The 25,279-nt window shown below is 34.7% G+C and overlaps 1 protein-coding gene and 1 long non-coding RNA gene across 2 annotated transcripts; one reads left to right on the plus strand and one right to left on the minus strand.

Moving 5' to 3' along the window:
• LOC105377388 (uncharacterized) lies at window positions 1-25,279 on the plus strand. Its single transcript, XR_939103.3, has 3 exons — window positions 1-2,571; window positions 6,073-6,224; window positions 25,073-25,279. It is a non-coding gene; the product is annotated as an uncharacterized LOC105377388 (long non-coding RNA).
• Window positions 3,302-5,324, minus strand: TRAM1L1 (translocation associated membrane protein 1 like 1). Its single transcript, NM_152402.3, has one exon. The coding sequence runs from the start codon at window positions 5,139-5,141 to the stop codon at window positions 4,032-4,034; it is 1,110 nt and encodes a 369-aa protein (NP_689615.2). The 5' UTR covers window positions 5,142-5,324; the 3' UTR covers window positions 3,302-4,031.

Raw genomic sequence — 25,279 nt, forward strand, 5'->3', positions numbered from 1 at the left:
TAGAAAATTTTGACAGTTACATGACTGTATAAGAATGTTCCAATTCAATGTTTTAGAAATGTATAATTTTTGCATGAAGGATGTATGAGGTTTTTTTCTACATAAATTGGAGTAATTGGCAGGTACCACTCTGTCTTATTTAGTGCGGGTAGTTTCTCACGAAAGGTAGATTTGATTGAAAGATGGCAGTGAACAAATTTTTTTTCTCTATTTCCATAGAAATTCCTACCAGTTTTTAACTGATTAACCTGTTTTTGATAGTTAATCAGTTACTTGAACTTTCACAGAGTTAACTAATGCCTGCTTTAATGCCTTAAATCATAATAAAAATTTGTTTCCATGTGGTCCATCTTGACACAGACCAAATCATCACACTGAGATTTATCATAACATAATGAAGCCTAAAACTTGTTTGTCCCTTACAAGATATGTAAGTTGCATGACACATTCATACTATTTGTTTTTTTAAAACTGGGATACACTGTTAACTAAATGCTACTGAATTCTCTGGTCAGATAGTTTGGTGTTAGTAAGAAGTAATTACCTGGCCGGGCACGGTGGCTCACGCCTGTAATCCCAGCACTTTCGGAGGCCAAGGCAGGCGAATCACTAGGTCAAGAGATTGAGACCATCCAGGCCAACATGGTGAAACCCAGTCTCTACTAAAAACACAACAATTAGCCTGGCATGGTGGCGCGTGCCTGTAGTCCCAGCTACGTGGGAGGCTGAGGCAGGAGAATCGTTTGAACCCAGGAGGCGGAGGTTGCAGTGAACCAAGATCACGCCACTGCACTCCAGCCTGGTGAGAGAGTGAGACTCCATCTCAAAAAAAAAAAAATAAAAATAAAAATAAAAGTAATTACCTCTGTATACTCAACAACGCTGTCTATTTTGTCCAGATTACAAAGGTCTGCTCTCCCATTGGAGGGCATTCTCTGCCATAGTGCAAAGGCCCAAGTACTAGCCTATTTCATATGCCACGTTCTCAAACACGGCTTTCCACAAGAACTTCCTCTAAGCAACTGTTCCAATATGACAAGTCCTGCATAAAGCATTGGTAAAAAGTATTTTGTTACTCTATACAAATTATTCTCACTTAGTCTAGTTAAGTGAAAACTTAATCTTTACCTTTATTTTTCCAACTTAAAGGAATATCAGAATATTTTGTCTTCAAGCAAGCTTTAAATTATTAATTTAATAACTCTAATCTTCTTGAATCTATTCCAAGTTAATACAGTATTGGTTATGCATAATTCTGCTAACCGATCAACAAATATTGATGAAAGATAGATGAAAAAGTATTTTATGTTTTTTTCTAATTAAAATCAATGGAGAATTATACTTATCAGTAAGAGAATAATAAGTCCTAAAACTTTTTTGTCCCTTAAAAGATATATAGGTTGCATGACACATTGATACTATTTGTTTAAAAACAAATGGTATACACTGTTAATTAAATGCTAGCAGAATCATTTTTCAAAAATAAACATATACTTTGACCCCATGCTGGAAAAACCTATACTTGTAGACTTATTTAAAATATAAGGCTAAACTTTGAAGGCAATAAATCAGAAAATCTTTAAATATAAATATTAGATACACCTTTATGATTTCTGCAGTTTTGGTGTTGGGAGGGGCAGATAATCAGCTATTTGAGCCTTCACAGGGTTACTTAATGCCTGCTTTAATAACTCAAATCATAATGAAAATTTATGTTTCCATGTGGTCCATTTTGACACAGACCAAATCATCACACTGAGATATATCATGGCATGAATGTTTTGAGAATAAATTTTTAAAAATACCTAATTTGTATTGAGCTAAATTTCATTTGTAATGTTGCTTTCATAATTTATTTGGCATTTATTTTCTGACGATATTTATTGAGTAGGAATACCATTGTGAGTAGTTGAGATGTAGCCAGCATCTTTCCCTTTATTCTTCTCAATAACCTTGCTTCCTCTTGTGAACTAATATCTTACACACACACACACACAAAACAGGCTTTGCCTTTTTACATGGGTGAAGCATGAAACCTGACTTACATCCATCAGCCCAGTATACTCCTTTATCAAATGACTTTACTAAAGGTAACTCCCATTGTCTTGGGAATTTTAGAAATTAGTTTTTTTCTCTTTCTCTCCATCACAGGGTTAAAGAAACAAAGCCTAGAATAGCTTTCATTATTTGCTGCCATGAAGAACATAAAGCTAAGGGGTTAGAGCCAAGAAAAATCCTAGGGAAACTGATCTAAATCCTAATCACATCTATTGCTAAGCCAAATTTAACTCTTGGCATTGTTAATCATGTAACATAATAATTTTTCTGTAATTTATTTTTCCAGTTTGAGTCAGATCTGCACTTATTTGTAAAGAAGTATACAATATATAGGGCATTTCTTACCAGGAGTGGGGTTACAGGTAATGGGCTAGAATGGTTTTAAAAAAAGAACTCTCTGTCATACGAGAAGGTAAAAATCTTTGTTTTTCAGTTGCATAAAGTTGGTTTACTTTGGACCTTACAACATGTGCTACCAATATTACAGTATTCAGTAACTGAAAACAAAAATAGGTAAGATGATGGATTCTATATTTAAAAAATGAAATCTTGCTTTGATATTTACTTCTGAAAGCAGACAGAAAGGAATGTTTTACCAAGAGTGGCTCTTCTGTCTGTGATCTGTAATAAAAGCATTAAACTTGATTTTGAGGGCCCTCCATGCTTGGGAGAGTTGAATTACTTAAACCAAAGAGAGGGCTGGCTATAAAATATTTAGAGATGAGAGACATAGTAGGAGAAAATATAACGGAATAGGAAATATATGGCCTTCCCCTAGCATATTTGTAAAGTACTGTCTTACTGAAAAATTATATAAACACATTATGGAAATAAAACTGAAATAAGGATTGAGAGGCAATACGTATAAATACTCACCCACTAATTCCCATTGTTTCCATTGGCTTCTGCAAAGATACAGATTATACATACATGTGTATGTAAATAATCTTCAAAATATGTCTTATACAGATAAATGTTCCCCAATTAAAGATGAAGACAAATAATCACAACATTATTTTTCAAAAGCCTTTCATGTGACTATCTGATTTTCAACTTATTGAAGGTTGATGCATAACATGCTTTCCAAATGTAATTAGCTGACTTTTTTTATACACATGCCAAGTATTATTTTTCAACCTGGTATACAAACAATATTTTTCTAAGATGCTGTGGTTACTGATCTTACAAGGCCTCATTAGGAATCATTTTTAATAAACATTTTTAAAAAAGACTAAGTTCAATGTCCTTTTTAAAGTAATATTTAATTTCATGAATTCCCATTTACAAGTGGAATGGACAGGAATGATTTTAATATTTTTATATTAATTAATGATATTTTGATGCAATATATATGGCAGCAAACCTCCATATGTGTTACCCATTAGTACTGTGTTTTTTTAAATGGGGATGAAGCACTAATAATCACTACCTGTAAAATAAAGAACATTTATTATTTTGGTGAGTCTAGCAATCTTTTCTGAGTTGTAAGTTCTTAAAAAATAAATTCTAACAATTACAGAATACTGATTTGACTTCCACCTTTTTCGTACTTTTATTTTACCCCAAAGCAAGCATTAAACACATAATCTTGCTAGGAGAGACCATCTTGTTAGTATTATGAAACACTGGTGGGAGTAAGAACCAGTATCATTGATATGCAAAATTGTGCAGTTATCTCTGCAAATCATTAGGAAAATGTTGAAAGGTTAAAAATCAAAACAAAATATAGTGGTGATCCCCAAAACTATTTTGACATTATTTTGACGATGAGTAATTTAGTCTCAACCAAAATCTTTTTTTCCCATTCATAATAATCCTCCTCCCCTCAAATGTCTTTAAAAAATACATGAAACAGTTCAATAACAAAAACCGAAGAGCACGAACTATTTTCAAAAACAGAAAAATCTCTAGTGCAGAAAGAAACCTCAAAGAGCAGATTCCTTTGCAGACATTAATCAATGCGCTTGCAAAGATTATGAAGATTTCTCTTTCCTCTTTGGCGGACAGTCTACTCTATTTGAAGTTTCCACTCCCACTCCGTTTTCTGTTCTTTTTTTAGAAGATCTCGACCGTTTCTTTTTCATACATGAGGCCTGAATATTAGAATCTTCTACCCACCTCTGAAGCCAGAGAGTAATTAAGTTCCATGTTACGTAGGCTTGGATCGTGCAACTGGACGACAGAACAGCAATTTTAGCTGCCAACACATTTACATTTCCAGTAAGGGCATCAGGATTCCGATTCTGCGATCCAGCCAGGTGAAACCCAACAGTGAGTACGGAAACAATTAAAGTCACAAGTCTACCCAAGATAAACACAATGGCCCACAGAGATATGCCTTTCTGGTACTTTTCATCACTAAAGTAAAACAGGCCGCACATGTGGGAAAGTAATTCAACAAAATAATGCAGTACCAAAAGAAGAAGTCCCAAATGATTCAAGTACAAGAGATAAGCTCCAGTAATGTGGAAGAGGTGAAGACCAATGTAGACAAGTTGACGAGGGATGTCTTGTTTTTTGGTTTTCTGGAAGTAGAGTTCAGGAAAAGCATGAAACCAGTAAGCCAACTGGGATATGTAGAAAAACTTCATTTGAAATGTCATCATGCTATGGGGACGAGCCTTCCATATAAGAGTTGGGTCTGACAGGCAGTTTTCAGAGATTAAAATGAATGTGCCCCAAATACAAGAAAAAAAGTAGAACACACTAAACTGACCAGACTCGTTAAACTTGTTTTGTTTCGCTTTGGTGAACTGCATTCTCTTGTTAATTTTATCCAACACATATTCCTGAATTGTGGCATGAATAATGATTGCCACCAGCATGTAGAAGAAAACCGTGGCCAAATCTTTGACACCATAATAATAGAGGGACTTTGAGCCCGTGGCTTGTTCCTCTGCTGCAGGGACAGCAACACTGTGCTGAAGAGTGAGAAACACGATGGATGCTTCTGCTGTTCCCTCGAACACAAGCCCCAGCAGGAAGAACATCCCCACGCAGGAGACGATGTCCGCATGATTCTGCAGGATGAATTCCTGGCTGAGAACGGGGGGGTTCTTGGTGCTCTTCTTACGGAGCCCCATGGTGGCGCTTCCCGGATACTCACCGGCGAGCCGCAGCTGCCTCCCCCTGGCTGCTCCTCACAGCGCCGCCGCCACGGTAGCAGCTCCGGGGGCTCCACTTCCCATCCCGAAGTCAGTCCCGGGTCGCAGCGGCCGCCCAGAAAAAAAATAAATCAAAGGCGAGGGCCGAGCTGAGCTGAGCATGCGCACCAGGGGGACGGCGGAGGCAGGGAAGGAAATCGAGCGCCGCGCCCCTACCCGGCGCCAGGCCCGGGGTTGCGAGCGGTGATCTTCAACGTTGATCGTCGCATCTTCAAACTCGCTGCCACCGCCAAGATGCTCCTGAATTCTTTTTTTTAGTGGCATCTTCATTAGTAATCATGATAAACCTATAGAGCTCTGGTTATTCTTCAGATCATTAATTATAACAACAATAGCATAATAATAACAGCAAACTCCCAGTACTAATTACCAGTTGCTGTGCTAAGCATTTTATTTATATTTATGAATTTAACTTTCCTGAAACACCCAGTGAGGTAGATACTGTGATAATCTCCCCTCCCCCACCCCTTTTCAAGAGACAAAACACTGAGGCACAGAGAGGTTAAGTAATATGGCCAAATTCACCTCCCTAGTAAGGGTTAGAGCAAAGATTTAAATCCAGTCCGGCTCCAGAGCGCCTGTTTTTCACTATTACGCTGTATTGTCTCTTATTGTAAATCAATTATACCTGGAAATATTTACTAGGTCAACAAGATAGCATATTAAAACTAGTTCCCCTATTTGCAATAATAATAATGTTTGAAATGATAACGTCTAGCCAGTATTTTGAAAGACTGGCACTTAGAGGGAGAGATGTATTAGTTCATGGAAAGGTCTCTTTTTGGCTACAAAGCTCAAAACTTAATTTCTTCATTATAACAGAAAAGAACCTCATATGTCATTTGTGTAGGTTTTGCATATATGGAGGAATTGTGAATTGAAGTTTCCCAAGACTTCACGTAGGATTTGGAAACTTTCAAGACTGGAACAGCCAGAAAGTAGAATCCTCATTGAACACTTGCAACATTCAGACAAGATCCAAGGAAAGCTACACTGTTTTAAGTAAGGCTAAACTTGCCCTAAGGATAAAGCTAATTCATGCTTATAAACACAAAGTTTATAAGAAGCCTTGAAAAGGTTAAGGTACTCTAGGACTGTCTACCAGAATGCCTACTTATGGCCTCTAGGTGCATTGTTGGCATTAGCATGAAAGGGTGGCTTAATGCTCCAAAAGTGGGATTTCTAGCAAGCAAGACAGAAAGTAAATGGCCTTTTATGACCTAGTATTAGAAGTTATATTATATAATTTTCAATACCAAGGTAGGCACAAGCCTGTTTTACTTCAAGGTGGAGTGAGGATGGAGGGGAGGGTGTGGACCATACACATCAACTTTTAATGAGAAATGTACCTAGTATTTGCTAATTTTTTAAAAATAGCCACATCCTTTCCGTTGGGAATAAATTTTGTTTCCTCTGACATGAAATATACACTTTTTCCTTCCAATGCAAACAATAGTCTCATATCAATATAGCATCAGGTTCAGGCTTCTTACACAGGATATTTTTGTAAGCTAAATCAGATCCAGGAGCAGATAAAGGAAAGTCCTATCCTTTGTTGTACTTACTCTTGGTCTGAAGACTTGTGAACTAAAAGAATAAAGTTTTTGGCTCCCACACACCCAAAGCGTAGGAAAAATGCAACAGACACTTCCATCTACGAGTGAGAAAATGGATGCACACAGCAGTCAATAATCAATAATAACTATAAGATACATCCAGGTAAAGTTCCTAGATTTTGGTTTGAGTCCAATCTTCCTTTCTAGGAAATGGTGAAAGATTTTTTTCCCTAAAACATGGATTAAATATTATAAGTTGATTTGTTTCTGTATGTTGGCTTGCATATATTAAAAGATAAAAGACACTAGAAGCCAAATAGTGTTAACGTAATACTGTTTATCTTTGTCTTTGTCATGTAATAGTCATTGATTATAGAATTAATTCTGGAGTATTAATTACACATTAATACTTCAAGGAATTAACGTTGAATAAACAAGTTTACAGGTGGAATCAACAGAACAACATATGAATCAGTTTCTGATTATCCTCAATCTTTCTTGGTCTCATGTATTCAGACGATTGCCAGGCATTGGTCGAATTATCTATTTAAAATGCTATATTGATTTTGTTATAAGAAACATTTGATTTAAAAATATCAATAAAAGTTCTCACGATAGTTAAGGTACTGTATTTCAAATAGGTGTTAATAATTAGTTCTTGCTGTTAGCTATGCAATACAACCTTTTGATGTCTGTATTTTATAACTCAATATTATTTATATGAATAGCTTAGCTATAAAAAGCTCTTTTAAATTAGTTATGTGTCTTTTAAAATAATTACCTTAAAATATAAACTGACATTGATTCTGATTTTGCTAAAATAGTAAAGTACAGAAGAAACATTATAATATAGAGGTAGCCTCACTTTTCAATATTTTTATATCTAAGAATAATATATATGTGTATATCTCTATAATACCAACCTTTTAATAATTTAAATTTGGATTATTCAATTACTTGAATTGAACATTAATATTCCAGAATTCAGTTGCATTTGAAGAAGCAAGAAATGTTGCTTTGAACTTCAAAATATCAGACCCAAGTCTGATTTTTAAATCGATGTTTATAATTAACATTTATAATTGACTGAGCTCACCAAATGCTTAGCTCAATTAAGCAAAAAAATACAGTTTATCTTGTGCATGAAATTACAAAGTCTCTTGGGATTTGATTGACTTAAAGTTTTAAATAATTTAATTAAAGATATATTTATTATTTTAAAGTCATTTTTGTAATTGATAAGACATGTTAAAACATGAGCTTTTAGAAGAACACACCCTATGCAATATGGCTAAATATTTATCGTAATAAGGAAAACTCAACATAATATTTACAGCTTTTAGAATACTTATTTGCCCATGGATTTATTAGTAACATACCAAGAAAAAATATGAAGCACTATCTAAGGATAAACTCCTGGAACAGGTTAATAGTGTCAGTCTCCCACTAAAATGTAAGAATTCATAAAATTAAAATCAATATTTAGTAATTTATTTTTTCAATTGCCCCTTTTATGGGTGAAAATAAACCTTATACCCATCCTCATGGAGCTTACATAATAATCAGGGAGAACTAGAGGACACAAACAGTACAAATATGTGTTTGCAAATAGCCAGTGAAAATTGCTGGGAAGAAAATGTGGATAAGAAGATGAAGCATAAATGATGATAACTATTTTAGGTAGAGTGGGCAGGGACAGCCTCTCTAAATAGGTGATATTTGAATAGAGATGTACATGAAGTTAAAGTAAACTATACAAATGTCTGGAGGGAAACATCCTAGGACGTAGTTCAAACGTTACCAGGCAAGAGCAAGAATGATTGTCGCATGAACAGCAAAGGGGCCAGGATGACAAGAATGTAGTAAGGGAGAGGGATGATTGATAAAGTAACAGAGATCATTAGGGGGCATTTCTTATAATGCCTGTAGGCCAGGGTTAAGGAATTTAAAGTTTGGTCTAAGGTCTAAACATTGTAAGTATTGTGTTAATGGATTACTTCAGCTTTTGTGAGATATACTATTTGTGGAAGCTGCAAAACTACAAAAAGGCCGTTGTATAAATTGTAATTTGCAAACATTACACTGAACTGTTGTATTTTTTATTGTATTTTTTAAAACAGTCTCTCTCTCGTCTCTCTTTGTTTATATAAAATATTTCTTTGGTTGCTGCCTGTGAAGTAACTGATGTGGAATATTCCTCTGATTCTACTACTCTTCCAAAATTTCAGTTGTATAATATATATGGCATGACATATGACAGAAAAACCACCTTATACATTTTTTTTACATGAAAAAACAATGCTGCTGTGTTTCTATTTGGTGTCTAGTAGGAACGTTAAATTGCAGCTTGATGATGTCTTCAAAAAATCTACTTCCTCCTTGATGGAATCACTGCCTCCCTAATGATTCATATGGAATTTCAAATTTTTCTTAACTCACTAAGGGTGTATATATACACTTACACAAAAAATGAAAACCAAATGAAAAATAAAGAAAAGATCATTTTAGCATTATTTTTGTAATATCCTTATATATCAGTGCTAATATAGATGAAAACATCAATAGTATTTTAACTCTTTTATCAACTTTCTGACCAAAACAATCCAACTTTAATAAACTACCCATACAGATAAAAATTATTTTAATTCTCATTGGAAATGCCTGTATTCCCTAGTTTTACAGAGAAAAAATGATTCTTACAGTTATTTGAATCCTTGACAGATTCTCCCTCAAGGTGTGATGATGTAGACCTACCTAAGGGTCACACAACACCAGAGCTATTTTAGTGTTTCCCTAAAGGTAAACTTCCATTGAAATTTTTTACTTCTAACATACTTGTATTTTAATCTTTGAATCTGTGCTTTAAAACATATGCTCAGAGACTAATAATCCTTATACATAGCTAGTTTATATGATTCATTTAGATAGTCTGGAAATAAAGCATGTGTTTCTCTTTAATTGCTTGGAAATTAATAAGTATTAGAAATATTAAAAATTAAATTATAATTGCCCAAATATTTTTGGCACACTTTAAACAGATGAGTATTTTATACTGTCCTTTCTCTATTTTTTTTGTGACAGAGTCTCGCTCTGTCACCAGGTTGGAGTGCAGTGGCGCAATCTCAGCTAACTGCAACCTCTGCCTCCCGAGTTCCAGCGATTCTCCTGCCTCAACCTCCCTAGGAGCTGGGACTACAGGTGCGCACCACCATGCTCAGCTAATTTTTGTATTTTTAGTAGAGACTGGGTCTCACCATGTTGGCCAGGATGGTCCCGATCTCTTGATCTCTTGATCCACCCCCCTCGGCCTCCCAAAGTGCTGGGATTGCAGGCATGAGCCACAGTGCCTGGCCTATACTATCCTTTCTCTTAATGTTAAAGACCTTTATCATTGGCTGGGCGCAATGGCTCACATGTGTAATCCCAGCATTTTAGGAGGCTGAGACAGGAGGATTCCTTGAAGCCAGGAGTTTGACACCAGCCTAGGCAAGAAAGCAAGCCCCCATCACAATAAAAAATAAAGTTTTAACAAAACCTTTATTATTCACTGGGAAGCTTATTATTTTCAACTTTTCCATTCTTTTGTTTAACACTTGTGGACTATTACTGAATTTTCTCCTCTACAAACTCTTCTGTATGATGCAATAAAAACTCATTTAGGAAAAGTCTTCTCATGCAAATTTCCCAAGGCAAGCAAGATTACCAAATGGATTATCAATGACCTTGGATGGAAAGATACATTAAAATTAATATATTCTTGGATTTTTAAAATGTATTGTTATGAAATAAAATTGATTCCTGTCTGCATATCACATGGAGGAATTGACTACACCTCATCTCTTCACACAAATTTCTCAATTGTATTTTCTCAAGATTTAGCTGACATAGTTTTATGTGCTTATTCTGTCCAATGACAAGGAAGCAGGAAATGATCAAGTGAAACCAAACTCCAAGGAGCCTTAGGGAAGTATCTATACATTTGCTATAGACAGAAGGGAATGGGAGTTAGCAATTATTAAGAGCTTACTCTGGCCTGCTACTCTGCTCTGGTCTTTATATATGTATGAAGTCATTTAATTCCCATAACAATTTTTGAGGTAGGAATTATTTACTCCACTCTTAAAAAATGATGAAACCGAGGCCCATTGAGGATAGCAAATAGCCAGAGTGAAAAAGTAGATAGCAAAGCAGGAGTCCCACTTGGTCTGTTTAAATGAGGATGGAACATATTGTTGCTATAATATCAGTCAGCCAACTGTGACTATGAAGAGAATATCACATGGGAAAGGGCAGGTAATAGGATGTCAGTGGTTAAGGCTGCTTAGAAGTAAGAGACTTCAGAGTTACTGGGGAGATGGCAGAGGCACTCATCTCCTACATCATTTGGATCCAAAACCAGACTGTGAGCAGAGAGTGATCTTCCCTGTGGCACCTTCTCTGTGTGTAATGTGAACGTGAAGGCAAAACTGGAGAGAGGAGAATGCAGAGGAAGCTGATTTCCCTTGAGCTCTGGTACCAAGTGACTGGGAGGGAGCCACAATTCTGAATACAGCAGGGAGAACTTATGTATCTTGATTGGAAATAAAAGCTGAATAATACCATAGTACCAATCAACTTATTGAAATAAGCCTGAATAACATTATCTCTTTGATATTTATCAGTATGATAGTAAAATGCTTTTCATATTAAAAAGTGATATTTTTCTTTATGTTTAGGCTTTTCAGTAACTATTAATAATTTTTAGAACAGATTGTTGACAAAGTCTGGTCATATTTGTATTTCCTCAAAATTAACAACTGAATTGAATGTCAGATTTATTCATCTTGCATAGATGAATTCATCATCCCCATTGCATAGAATAGTGCCTGGCACAAGGTCCTTAGTACATGTTGTTGAGTAAATGATATATGAGTGATGTGTCTAAGAATGTTATTTGCACCTGTCTTTATAATAAAATCCCTGAATAAATAAATATAATTAATTGGCATCATATTAATTATCAAAACAGGCACAACAGAATATGCTAGTCAGTACAATTTTAGTAGTACTGTTATAAATTGGGTGGAATATTAGATAGAGGAACTTATTAATAAAACTTTTGCCTAGTACGCAAATCTCCTCCATAGCCCCTGCTATAGGCAGTGAGCTTTGAATTACTTCTCATGGCAGGAAATCATTACTTAACTAGTAGGTCATTACGCTTTACATCTAGTGATTTTGAAGCTTTCTCACACTGTGTCAAAATTATCCTCCGAAAATACATATCTTAAATGTATTTTAGCCCATATTAATATGTATTTTAGTAACATAAATTAATATCATTAATAATTACACTTGAATCATTTGAATACTGCTTCTTAACTTTATTATTATAAAATAAACATTTCCCTAAAATGTTTGTATCTTGTTTTAGTTCATCTTTTGCTCACAAATACCATTTATTTTTATGTTCACTATAGAAAGTTATAGTCATACATCTAGAAAATATCTTAAAAGTTTTCAAGTACTCTAAAGAGATAAACACTAATAAAATCACATATATAATATACATAACATATTAATAGGTCTATATAATAAGATATGAAATTTGAATCTTTTTAATTCTGCTTCTTAACTTTAATATTGTAAAATAAACATTTTTCTGTTATGTTAACATACACACTGTAATAATGGAAAATACTTATAATATGAATGTACACTTTTCATGTTATTTAATGTTTATTTTCTTGTTTTCTATTATGAGCTGTACTGCAAAACTCTGTATAAATTTTTCCTACATTAATGATTACTTTTCTTTTAAATGTTTGTAAAATATTTCTAGCCTGCAAAAAATTGGACAGAATAAGGTTTGAATGTTTGTGTTCCTCCAAAATTTATGTAGAAATGTAATTTCCATTGTGGGAGGTATTAAGAAGTGAGGTCTTTTGGGAAATAATTAAGTTATGAGGGATCTGCTTTTGTGAGTGGGATTAATGACCTTAAAAAAGAGTCTTTAGAGAGCTGTCTGAGGCTTCTGTCCCTTCAACTATGAGAGGCTATAGTGCTTTTGCCCTCTGAAGGACACAGCAACAAGGCTCTACCTTGGAAGCAAGGAACAAGACTTTACCAGATACTACATTTGCTGGCACCTTGACCTTGGATTTCTCAGCCTCCAGAACTATGAGCAATAAGCGTTCATTATTTATTAATTATCCAGTTGAAGGTATTTTGTTTTAGTAGCAGGAATGGACTAAGGCAATATATAATAAACACTTATGTTCCCAACTCACAGATTTTTTTTAACATTTGATATGTATTAGTGATCATTTGTTTGAGGAGCTATGACATGGACTCAGTTTGAATCCTTCCTAACATAATCAATGAATAGTGTTTTTGATATTTTTAAGTGTCACATATATAATATACTATATTTTACAATTTTTCTTAACATTTATTTATAAAAATAAAAATATATCAGTTCATTCTCATTTTAACTGAAATATATGATGTATGTAATTACTTCAAGTCCAAGAATTGACAACTGTTTCCATGAAACCACTTTACTGTATGGTTTGGTTACAGTTAGCCAACAGATGTATGTGAGTGAGAAGAAATCACTCCTCTCAGTATATTGTAGTAGTCAGACATGATGACAGACAAATATGGAAGTGCCCAGAAGTATTCAACATCCAGCTTTTTTCTTCCCAATTACTATTCCCACCAACCAATAGCATTTTTGAGTCAACCCTCAAGCATTTCACTGCAATTTTCATAGTGATGACAGCTGCCACATATCTCCCTATGAGCTCTCTGTTGATTTTGGCAGTCAGACTGAAAATAAACAAACCAACAAAAGTCTGGAATTTTCCTGTAAGTTCCAACCAACCAACTTACACAAATGTTTTTGTTGGTGATTTTCTCTGATCCTCCACATCCCTTATATACTCTATGCCTTAAGTTCTCCAGATATTTCTATATTTATGTAAGCTCCAATTTCTGTTGCAAATAATCTGTTCCAATCAAACATTTAATTTGCTCTATTTTTTTTTAGACACTGACTGATATGCCACTTATAGCTGAATATGTACCATTTATGGATGTCCTTTCTATATTGTCTCATCCTGGTTGCCATATATAGGCACAATCTTATAAAAATAGATCATTTTTTATAATAAACCATAATGGAAAAAATCACGTTTTTACCAAAATTATAATGTGGATAAATTCATTAACTTTTTTTATTTTTAGTGAGTCTAAATTATTAAAAAGCAACAAATGTTATGACATCTCCTCGCCTTTCTTCCTATTATTATGAGCACCTTATGCAGTGATTTCATAATTTTAATTCATATCATTGTCTAACAGAGTATATGTCCGCTACATAAACACATCATGCAGATACCAGCCAAACTGCTGAAATGATGCATCATTCAACATTGCTTAATAACTAAGAAAACAATTGTATTTTTAATTGCTTAATAACTAAGAAAAAAATTGTATTTTTAAATTAGAATGTGCAATAATGGTCTTTTAAAGACCCCAAAATAAAGAATTTTTGAAAACCCAACATATATTCTTGAATTGAGATGCAATTCGAATGCCATAAAATTCTCCTTTAAAGTCTTTAATTCAGTGGATTTTAGTATGATTACAGAGGTGTGTAACCATCACCACTACCTAATTTTAAAATATATTCATCATCACCCCCTTCAAAACCCCATCATCACCCCCTTCAAAACCCCATACACAATGGCAGTCCTCTTCATTTGCCACTCCCATCAGCCCCTTATAATCATAACCCATAAACATATTATTTATATCCTGAGTGGCTGCATTTGGTATTTGGTCATCTTAATAACAAAGGAAGGAAAAGAATTCAATAATTTATGTATATATAGACGTTGGACACTTTATAGAATCATATAATATAGATTAGACAATAGGTAAAAATACAGAAAAAGTAGCAGGATAGTAGTTGAGATTTACCAGCTTTGGCTCTGAAAATAAAATTTTGAATACTAACATCTATATACCATGATTACTGGGTGTGATTGCTTGCAAAATTGGCAACAAATGTCTTCATGTCCTTCCATCAAGAAGCAGAGTTAACTTCTCACAACACTTGATTCTGAGACGCCCTTGCTTTGGTGACTAAAATGCAATGACGGGATGACATTCAAGTTCTAATACTGGACCACAAGAAGATTTGTATGCCTCTTCTTGTTCTTCTGGAATTTTGTGGCTCCATGTGAACAAGCCCGATCTAGCCTACTAGAGGGAGAGAGATCATGTGGAGAAGAACTGAAGCACTCCAGACAGTCCTCAGTTGACATAACAACTGAGTGCAGATGCACGAGTGAGCACCGAGAGAGTGGTCATTATTTAGCTATTAAAAAAAAAAGGATGTTATAAACATCGTTTAACACGTATCTTGAGAAACCTAAACTTGTAGATTTCTAAAGAGCATATCTGAGAGTGGAAGTGTAAGATCTGAGATAATATATTTGTGTAGCTTTAGTAGATAATGCCAAACTATTTTCTGGCTAGGCATGGTGGCTCATGCCTGTAATCCCAGCACTTTGGGAGGCTGAGGCAGGTGGATCACCTGAAGTCAGGAGTTCGAGACCAGCCTGGCCAACTTGGTGAAACCCCTTCTCTACTAAAAATACAAAATTAACCAGGCTTGGTGGCACACGCCTATAATCCCAGCTATTTGGGATGCTGAGGCAGGAGAATCACTTGAACCCGGGAGGTGGATGTTGCAGTGAGCCGAGATCACAACGTTGTACTCCAGCTCGGCAGAAAGTGAAACTCCATCTCAAAAAAAAAAACAAAACGAAACAAAAAACAACAAAAAAAAAAACCTTTTTCCAAAGTGGTTAGAATAAAGTTTGGTTACCTTGTCCACATTCTCACCAGTAGTAAGTAGAACCAAACATTTTAAAATCTAGCCATTCTTTGATGTTACTTAGTGATTTCTCATTGTCATTTTTATTTTATTTCACATCAGAATAAGTTTTACCAATTAGATCACAATGTACTCAGAAAAACGTAGAAATAACAGAATTCCATTTTCACATCCTACAACTTTAAATGCTTACTTCACTTAGTGATCTTTTCTATATCCTTCCTTTCTGTATTTGAGAGCATGTGATAGTTTATTTCTACTGGCAGACATATATGATGAGTATAACTAGAGTTAAAAAGCTGCATATACACACACATGCAGAGGTACACAGGTGCATTCATTCATAAATACATAGCATACACTCATAAATATGTAGTATTAGTAGTTAGCTTTATTATTTTATTTATTCCTTTGTCTATGCAAACATATTTATTGAATATTTTTTTCTGCCAAAGATTCTGTATACCCTGACATAAATTCTCCTTCTATACTGAGATTACATTCTGGTAAGTGTCATGGACTATCAAACGCTATCACTATGTATTGAGGAAAATAGTATAAGGAATGAGAGTATGATAAAAGATTATTTAATAGCTAGTTTGGAAAAGAGAGTTATTGATAGAAGTGCCGTTTCACCTGGGAGCTAACTGAAGGATTGATGTTACCCATTGTATTTTTCCTATTGCTTCTGTAAAAAAGTTACCACACACTTGGTGGCTTACAGAAACAGAAAGTAAATTATCTCACAATTTTCGAGGTCATAAAACTAAAATAGGTTTCACCGAGCTAAAATCAACGCGGTGGCAAGATTGTATTCCTTCTAGAGGCTCTAGGAGAAAATCCATCCCTCTTTGTTTTCCAGTTTAAAGATTAGTTCACCTGAATTTCTTGGTTTGTGGCCTTTTCCTTCAACTGCCAAGCCAGCAATCATATACCACTCTAAACTCTGCTTTCGTTGCCACATTTTCTCTGACTCTTTTGTCTCCCTCTTTCATCTTTTAAATATTCTAATGATTACATTGGGCCCACCAGGTTAATACAGGATACTCTGCCCATATCAAGGAACTTAGTTTAATCCACTTGCACAGTCTCTTTTGCTATGTAAAGTAACATCCACAGGTTTGAGAGATGAGGTTGCTGACATCCTAGATGTGGGGGCATTATTTTGCATGCCACACCCATGCTGGGGAGGAGCAATCATTCAAAGAGAAGTGTTCCAGTCACAGAAAACAGTCTCTGTTTCCTTAAGGGATCTGACAGAATTAACATAGCTAAAGCAGGAAGCAAGACATCTTACTAAGAGCAATAGTTATCAATCACAAATACTAAATATTTAGAGATATGTTTGAAATTACTTCAAAATGCCAAATATTTTACACATTTTTAAAGCTGGATTCAGAAATAGGATATGGAAATGGAGGACATTTGTGTATCTGTGCCTTTACAGTGGAGGAAGATCACAAGTGGAAGCAGTTATCTATAAATTAAAACATAAAATAGATGTTTTGTCTTCAAAAACTTGGAAGACTTTTAATTTTCCTCCAGTCCTATGTCTAATTTTTTATAATTAATTAATTAATTAATTTAGAGATAGGATCTCACTCTGTCACCCAGGCTGGAGCACAGTTGTGCAATCATAGCTCACTGCAACCTCAAATACTAGAGCTCTTCAGCCTCTGGAGTAGCAGATGGAACCACAGGTGCACGCCACCACACCCGGTTAACCATGTTTAATTTTAAACAGTTCAAAAAGCCATATTTTTATTTTTAATGTCAAATAATTTATGTGGTGATATACACTGTTGTTTTGCTTTATGTATCTAGAGAGTTTATTCAATTTATCTTTTACAGATATAAAGACAGAATCATGTAGGTGTTATAAAATTATGCTACAAATGACGAAAATAGCACATGTTAATGGGATTTGGAAGTTGGAAATAGTGTTTTCTGTGCACCATAATCTGTTTATTTAGAACATATAAATATGCAGTGCTTTTAAGAATATACCCTCCTGTGTCCCTTATAAAATTTCTCTTTTCACAAGTTAGTATATTTTGAAAAAAGTTTATGACTAATATGATATTTCTCAATACTTCCAAGAATATAAAGCAGAGAAAACAGTTAAATAAAGTATATTTTCTGGTGAGAAGAGGTAAAAAGCAAGTCAATGTATTTTCTCAATGATGGCTTATATGACAAATACTAGCATAATGACAGAAAAAAATTGTCATAAAAGGAAATTGATTGAAGGTATGTTCAAATACATTACGAAAGTTTATGATTTGTTGAGTATTAGATATTTACAAAATATAATTTTAGAATTTGGCTTATGTTGATTTCCATAACTTCATATATTGAACAAAGCTCCATTGGAAAACTATTAAAATGGCCATTGCTATTACATACATTTTTGCTCTTGCTGAATTCTGTTTGATTATGCCAATATTCACGGCAATAAGTGACATGGACTTGTGACCTCTTTTCTGGTTAAAACAGAGGATAAGCAAAACCGCTTTCAGTATGTTAAATCCAACAGTAAATCTTGGAGCCTGAAACAGAGAAAAATGCAATCTTTTTATGTAGTGGCTTTATGAAAAATCAATGACTGATCTCCAAAGTAATTGATTCATATCACTTTTTCTCTATAAATCCAGACTGTGGATGGTAATTATTTTTAAATTTTTTAAAATTTTTCTCATATAGAGCAGCACAAAAGACAACTACCTTGAAAACTAAAGTCTGCAAAATGTTGGCAAGGGCAAAGAAGACTGTGCACCACTTATTTCTGACAAGAAAAATGATTCTAATGTCCCTAACATACCACCTTTCTCCTTTCTATAGAATGCATCAATCTATGAATGTCACTTTTGCGGCAGTCATGATTTGTATTCTTCCTGGCAGCTCTCCTACTTTACAGGCCCTAAAATAAGTTTGGTTATAGCCTACAACTGCAGGAGAGCAAAAATCCATTTCCTGTATCCATTTCCGTGGCTCACACCCATTCGATGTTGTTGTCTTTCTGATACTTGCCACCAAAGTTATTGATGATGTTACAAAATGGACAGACTGAGAATTAGACGCTTTTCACAAGATCTGATAATTAAGTAATAATAAGGAACCAAATCTGTAAAAGCAAAGCAAAAATATTTTACAATACAGGCCCCAAAGACAAAAGAAATCCTTATCATTTTCTGTTATAAAACAGACCTATAATTTGCAAATAATGCAAGTGAAGGTGCTTTAATCTTGTATTATATCTGTTTATGGCTTTTATCCTAAATTAATTCATGCTTTTTAAAGTAATATGTAAATGTGAAATTACACAAGTGCAATCTAATTTTAATGCTAATTAATCTTCTATCCAACACATTCTTATTTACTAGCTAGTTAAATTTGCCACAAATTTTGGATAACAACGGGATCATTAAATAGTTTATTTTGGAAATTTTGATCTTTTCAAGTATCTCTCTTTTCTACCAATTTCTACAATTGTGTCTTGTAGCACAAGATACAATTTTTTTCCTGAAGTAGAATAACTGTGCTTCCAATAAGGAAAATATTTGAGTATTAAATAAATATTTCTAAAAGATATATTACGATAGGCAACATTAATAGATAGACAATTAAGGTCAATTAATATTGTAATGATATTGGAAATAAATTTTCAGCAGGTACAAGACTTTGTTTACTCAACATGGGATCACAATAGTGTATCAACTGTGAGCGGGAGAAAGGCAATAGGTGCTTAACTGGAGAGATGTGCTAAAACATGGATTCGGTGCATAAACAAAAACAAGGATTTAATTTCTGGTTAAGATGAAAAAGATGAGAACTAGACGATGGGCAAAAATTAATGCATGTATTATTCAATTTTAAGAATTGCTATAAAATAGTATAATCAGAAAACATGGCATTGGTGAAATAGACATACTGATGAATAGGACAGAACAGAGACTGCAGAAAGAAAAGACCTACATGAGTAGAGTCAATTGATTTCAACACATATATGGAGAAAACTCAATGAAGAATGGATTCTTTCAAGAAGTGGTGCTGGGACATTTGAACATCTTGTGCAAAGAAGAAAAAAAAAAAAAAAAGAATCTAGACCAGACCTTACACCTTTCACAAAAACTAATCCAAAATGAATTTAAGACATAATACAAGATAAAAAGGATAAAACCTCAGGAAGAGGACACAGAAGAAAATTTATATGACTTTAAGCATGTTGATGAGATTTTAGATAAAACTTAAAAGCACAATCTGTGAAAGAAAAAGTAATAATTTGGCTTATTGAAATTAAAAACTTATCTGCAAAAGGCACTGTAAAGATAAAAAGGAGGAAATATTTGACATTTCTGATAAAGGGCTTCTTATCTAGAATACAAAAAAAAAAGAAAAAACCCTTAAGTTAACAATGTAAAAATGTGCAAAAAAATAAAATCTGAACAGACACCTTATCAAAGAAGACATAAAAATGATAAGTAAATACATGAAAAGATAATCAATATCATTTGTCATTAGGGAAATGCAAATTAAAACAACTAAGAGACACCACTACATGTCTATGAGTGGCTAAAACCCAAAACCTGACGATTCAATTACTGGTAAGGGTGGGAGCAACAGGAACTCTCATTCATTGCTGGTTGGAATTAAAAATAGTGAGACCATTTGAGAAGACAGTTTGCCAGTTGCACATGAAGCTAAACATATATTTAGCATACTCAACAATGGCATTCTTTTTTTTTTTTTTTTTTTTTTGACGGAGTCTCGCTCTGTCGCCCACGCTGGAGTGCAGTGGCACAATCTCGGCTCACTGCAAGCTGCGCCTCCCGGGTTCACGCCATTCTCCTGCCTCAGCCTCCCGAGTAGCTGGGACTACAGGGGCCCGCCACCATGCCCGGCTAATTTTTTTGTATTTTTAGTAGAGACGGGGTTTCATCATGTTAGCCAGGATGGTCTCGATCTCCTGACCTCGTGATCCGCCTGCCTTGGCCTCCCAAAGTGCTGGGATTACAGACGTGAGCCACCGCATCCGGCCCAACAATGGCATTCTTAAGCATTTAGCCAACTGATTTGAAAACTGAGTTTTATACTAAAACCTACACACTGAAGTTTATAGAAGTTTTCTTCTTCATAATTATCAAAAACTGAAAACAGCAAAGATATTTAATAGGTGAAAAGACAAACTGTGGTACATCCATAGAATAAAATATAACTTAGCAATTAAAAGGAATGGGCTAGGGCTATCAACCTAAACAACTTGGATGAATCTTGAATGGATATTATTAGTGAAAAAAGTAAGTCTGTAAAGGCAACATACTCTATAATTCCATTCATATGACATTCTAGAAAAAGCTAAACTATTTATGGAAACAGAACAAAGATTGCCAGTAATCTTGTGAGATAAAGGAGAGCTGAATATATGGAGCACAGGGAATTTTATAAGGCTATGAAAGTATTCTGTTTGATACTGTATTGGTTAAGATGGATAGTGATAACAGTGGATACACAACACTGTGTATTTGTCAGAACACATAGAGCCTTAAAACACAAAGAGTGAATGTTATGTATGCAAATTTTAAAACATCAGTTAAGAGATGTGGGGACTCTAGAATGTAGACTGTGATGAAAAAATTTACTACGAATGTATAGCATAACATAATTGATGATGATGGGTGAGAAAAAGCTGAACTAAGTAATTTTGGAAATGAATGGGGTATGTAAAAATAAAGACAAAAGGAAGTGTATCTAGGTACTGCATGCTAGTAGTTAAAAGTATTTTCCATTGGAGTAAAGTATAACAATTCCAAAACCACACTAATGAATGCTGAGCTTTAGCAGCTAAGTGTGTGGTTGGGTTCCAGTGAGAGCCAGGTTTTTCACTCTTAGATTGGTAATTTATAGATAAGCAAGAAGAGAAGTCCGGAATGATACATATATTAATGGATTAGAATTGGAGTCATCAATATAAACTCATATTTACTTTAACATAAATAGGTTAATAGTCAGTTTGGGCTGCTATAACAGAATATCATGGATTGAGTGTCCAAAACAAACATTTGTTTCTCACAGATCTGGAGGCTGGAAGTTCAATATCAAGATGCCACTATAGTCAACTTCTTGGTGAGGGTCCTCCTCCTGGTTCACAAAACAGCTGCTTCCTCCCTGTACCATCACTTGACAAAGAGAGAAAGTTCTGTCCTTTCATCTCCCTACAGGTCCACTAATCTGATCATGGAGCCTCCATACTCATGATCTAATCTAACCCTAGTTTCTTCCCAAAAGCCCTACCTCCAAATACCATCACATTGGGAGTTAAGGTTTTAACATATGAATTTTGGGGGATGCAAGCATTCAATCCAGAGCACAGATGTACAAACACAGATGATATATAATCTATATATTATATGTAACCCACACATCATATGTACATACATGTCTAACATAAACACGCATATACAATCTGTATATGTGTACATTATAAATGTTTATAAATGTGTTTAATCCACTTAATTTGTATACATACACATTATAAATATGTTTATAAGATATATACACATTTCCTGGCTGTATCAGCTGTAAGGTCCTAGAAGCAATGAGAACAAAGTAGCAACGAATACACACAACACTCATATTATGGTTTCCAACACTGTTCTCTTACAAAAAGAATCAGTGCTCCTTGGAAAAATGGATGATTCTAAGACTAGGACAGGAAATATACAAGATGAGTATGGAGCACATTTTTTACCAAATGTAAACAGGCGCTCAAAACAAAAAAAAACTATTTAAAAAACAATGAGTATATGTCAAAAGAACATCATAGCTAAATGAAAGAGATCCCAATGGCCACAGGTAGAAGAATTTGAATAAGAAAAAAAAGTCATAGTGTGATAACCCAAATTATAAAGTAAATATCTGAGAGTCCAAAGGATATAAAGAAACCATTTAATAAGGGAATAAAAAGTGACTAATTCTGTTGGAAGCAACTTTATCTCAGCTTATTTAACATAAAGAGAGCCAAGTCTCTTGGGATTAATGTTAAACTCCCTGTTAACTAGAAAAGGGGCTGGTAAACTAGCCTCTCCAGCCACCTGTTTTGTACACTTTAAGGTGGTTGGTTGCATTTTTAAATGGTTAAGGGCAAAAGAATACCCTGTGGGATGTGGAATTTAAATTTGTGTCCAGTTTTATTGGGAAAAAAATACACAGATGGGGAACATATGCAAATCCCCTATGCAGAAAAAGTCAAATAATTTATGCAGATACTTCCCCTCAAGGGGGTAGAGTATAACTCTCCACTCCTTAAGGAGTGTGGGCTACACAAGTGACTTCCTTTAAAAAAAAAATACTGAATGAAAAGAGGAGTGAAGAGTAACTTTTCATTGAAGAAATGTGGCAAAAACTCCCTCAGCCTCTGGATCAAGCTGAACATCATCACTGATAAGTCATGTGGATATGTACCCTTGTAATGGTGTGAGGAAATTACAATTTACCTCTGAGGTTTTCCTTCCCAAAATCCACAATCCCCCATCTAATCTTAGAAAAATATCAGACAAATATAAACAGAGGGACATTCTACATAAAAACTGGCTAGTATTTCTAAAAACACTTGTTGGAGCTCAGAAAATAATACTGCAAAATGAAAGTCTCAGAGGCAGCCTCAGAAGCAAGTTTCTCCCTAATCTTCTCCTGACCTCCACATTCTTTCCTGAGGCAAACTATAGAAACTAGAGTCTCTTTTCCCCAAGACAAGAGTCCATAACCCATTTCCCCAAAGCAAGCCAGAAACCCTAAAAATATTACTCTGACTTTGCCCCTCTTTTCTGCATAAAAATTGACCATAAATAAATTATCTGACCTATCTCATTTGATTGTAGGTCATAAAACCCCAATTTCAGAGAGGGTCCTGCCTCATACCCAGCAGGAAGGAATGCTGCACAGAGAGGCAAAGAAGACTCTAAACAGAGAAGCCTTGCTGTGCTTCGTCACTCAGTCTGTTAGCATTAGACCATATACTTTTTGTTCAATCATATTTCTACAGGTCCATTCATACTTTGTTGAACTTAAGCATAAAATGAGCATTTTCTGCTGTATCTTTGGATCTTCATTTTGAAGGCTCCCATGTCATGTAGAACTATGGTCAATTAAATTTGTTATACTTGTTTCTTGGTAACCTTTCTTTGTTATAGAGGTGTCAGCTGTGACCCTTATGATAGGGAGGAAAGGAATCAACCCCCTTTTACCCTGAGGCTGTCAAGCAATGGAAGCCTGAGAAACATTCACAGCTCAGAGGGGTCTAAGGAAACATAATGACTACAAATAATCTGGTATTATAGATAGAACTAAAATATGGATGTTAGACAAAAATGTAAAGAAATCTAAGTAAAGTACTGACTTCAGTTCATAATATTGTATCACTGTTGACTTGTTAGTTGTGACTAATGTAACATAGGAATGTAAGATATTAACAGTAGGGTAAACTAGATGTGGAATATTCTGGCTGTCTCTGTACTCTTCCAGAAACTTTTGTGTAAACGTAAAAATATTCTTAAATAATAGAGTTTATTTAAAAAGAGTGGTAATGTTGACTCAAATGTTTATGTTTGGAATTTTACCTGTGTGAAACATGGATAAAAAAAATGATTAGTGGAAACTTGTGGCTGGGGAACCAGTTGCCTTTTTGGAAGAGAGAAGAGAACAGTGAACGTTAGAGACTGTTGTCGAAAAGCATGTATTAGCTTTCATTTTTATTGTATTATTATCGCTATTTGATATCATCTCGGAATCCTGAATCTGTTAGTGAAACTGCAGGAATAAAATTTTATTATTTTACCGTGGTGTTAGAAGTTTTTATCTGTTGAATCTTTTAGCGGTGAATTCAGGTGTTATAATATACAAACATACTTTGATAGTATTGCGCTAAAAATAAGAATACTAACCATTTGAAACTGTGGTGATTTTGCCTAGTCAGATATGATTAGTGTGCACTCTGCTGTCCTCTGCTCCTAGCTTCCCTAATTGGATAGCAGCCTCTGGTATGCCACATGACACAATGTGCAGAAACCTAAAAGTGACTTTTTTTCATATTTGTCCTTTTCATAGTAAACTGAAATAGTAGGAAATAAAGTATTTTTGTTTACTGTAAGTTTGGTTTGAAGTTACAGTATTTATACTTGCAAACTATAGAATGTAAGCTGATTCTACTCTGTGGCCTATTTTTTACAGCCTTTATGTTAAAAATGTTTATTACAGTAGTGTTGCCCCCAAATTCATATCTATATGATAGCTATTTATATGACCTTATTTGACAATAGAGTCTTTGCACATGGAATTATCAAGTTAAAATGAGGACACACTGGATTGGCATAGGCTCTAAATCCAATCACTGGTCACTTCTTCTGACACAGATGCATGGAGTCATGGGAGAAGTCCATGTGAAGAAGAAGCAGAGATTGGAATGATGTATTTACAAGCCAAGGAATGACAATTGCCAGCAGCCACCAGAAGCAAGAGGCAAGGAAGTGTTCTTCCCTAGAGCTTTGGGAAAGAGCATGCCCAGTCGACACCTCGATTTGGACTTTAGCCTCAAGAGTATGAGAACAGATTTATATTGT

Source organism: Homo sapiens, chromosome 4 (assembly GCF_000001405.40).
Source record: "Homo sapiens chromosome 4, GRCh38.p14 Primary Assembly".
NCBI lineage: Eukaryota > Metazoa > Chordata > Mammalia > Primates > Hominidae > Homo > Homo sapiens.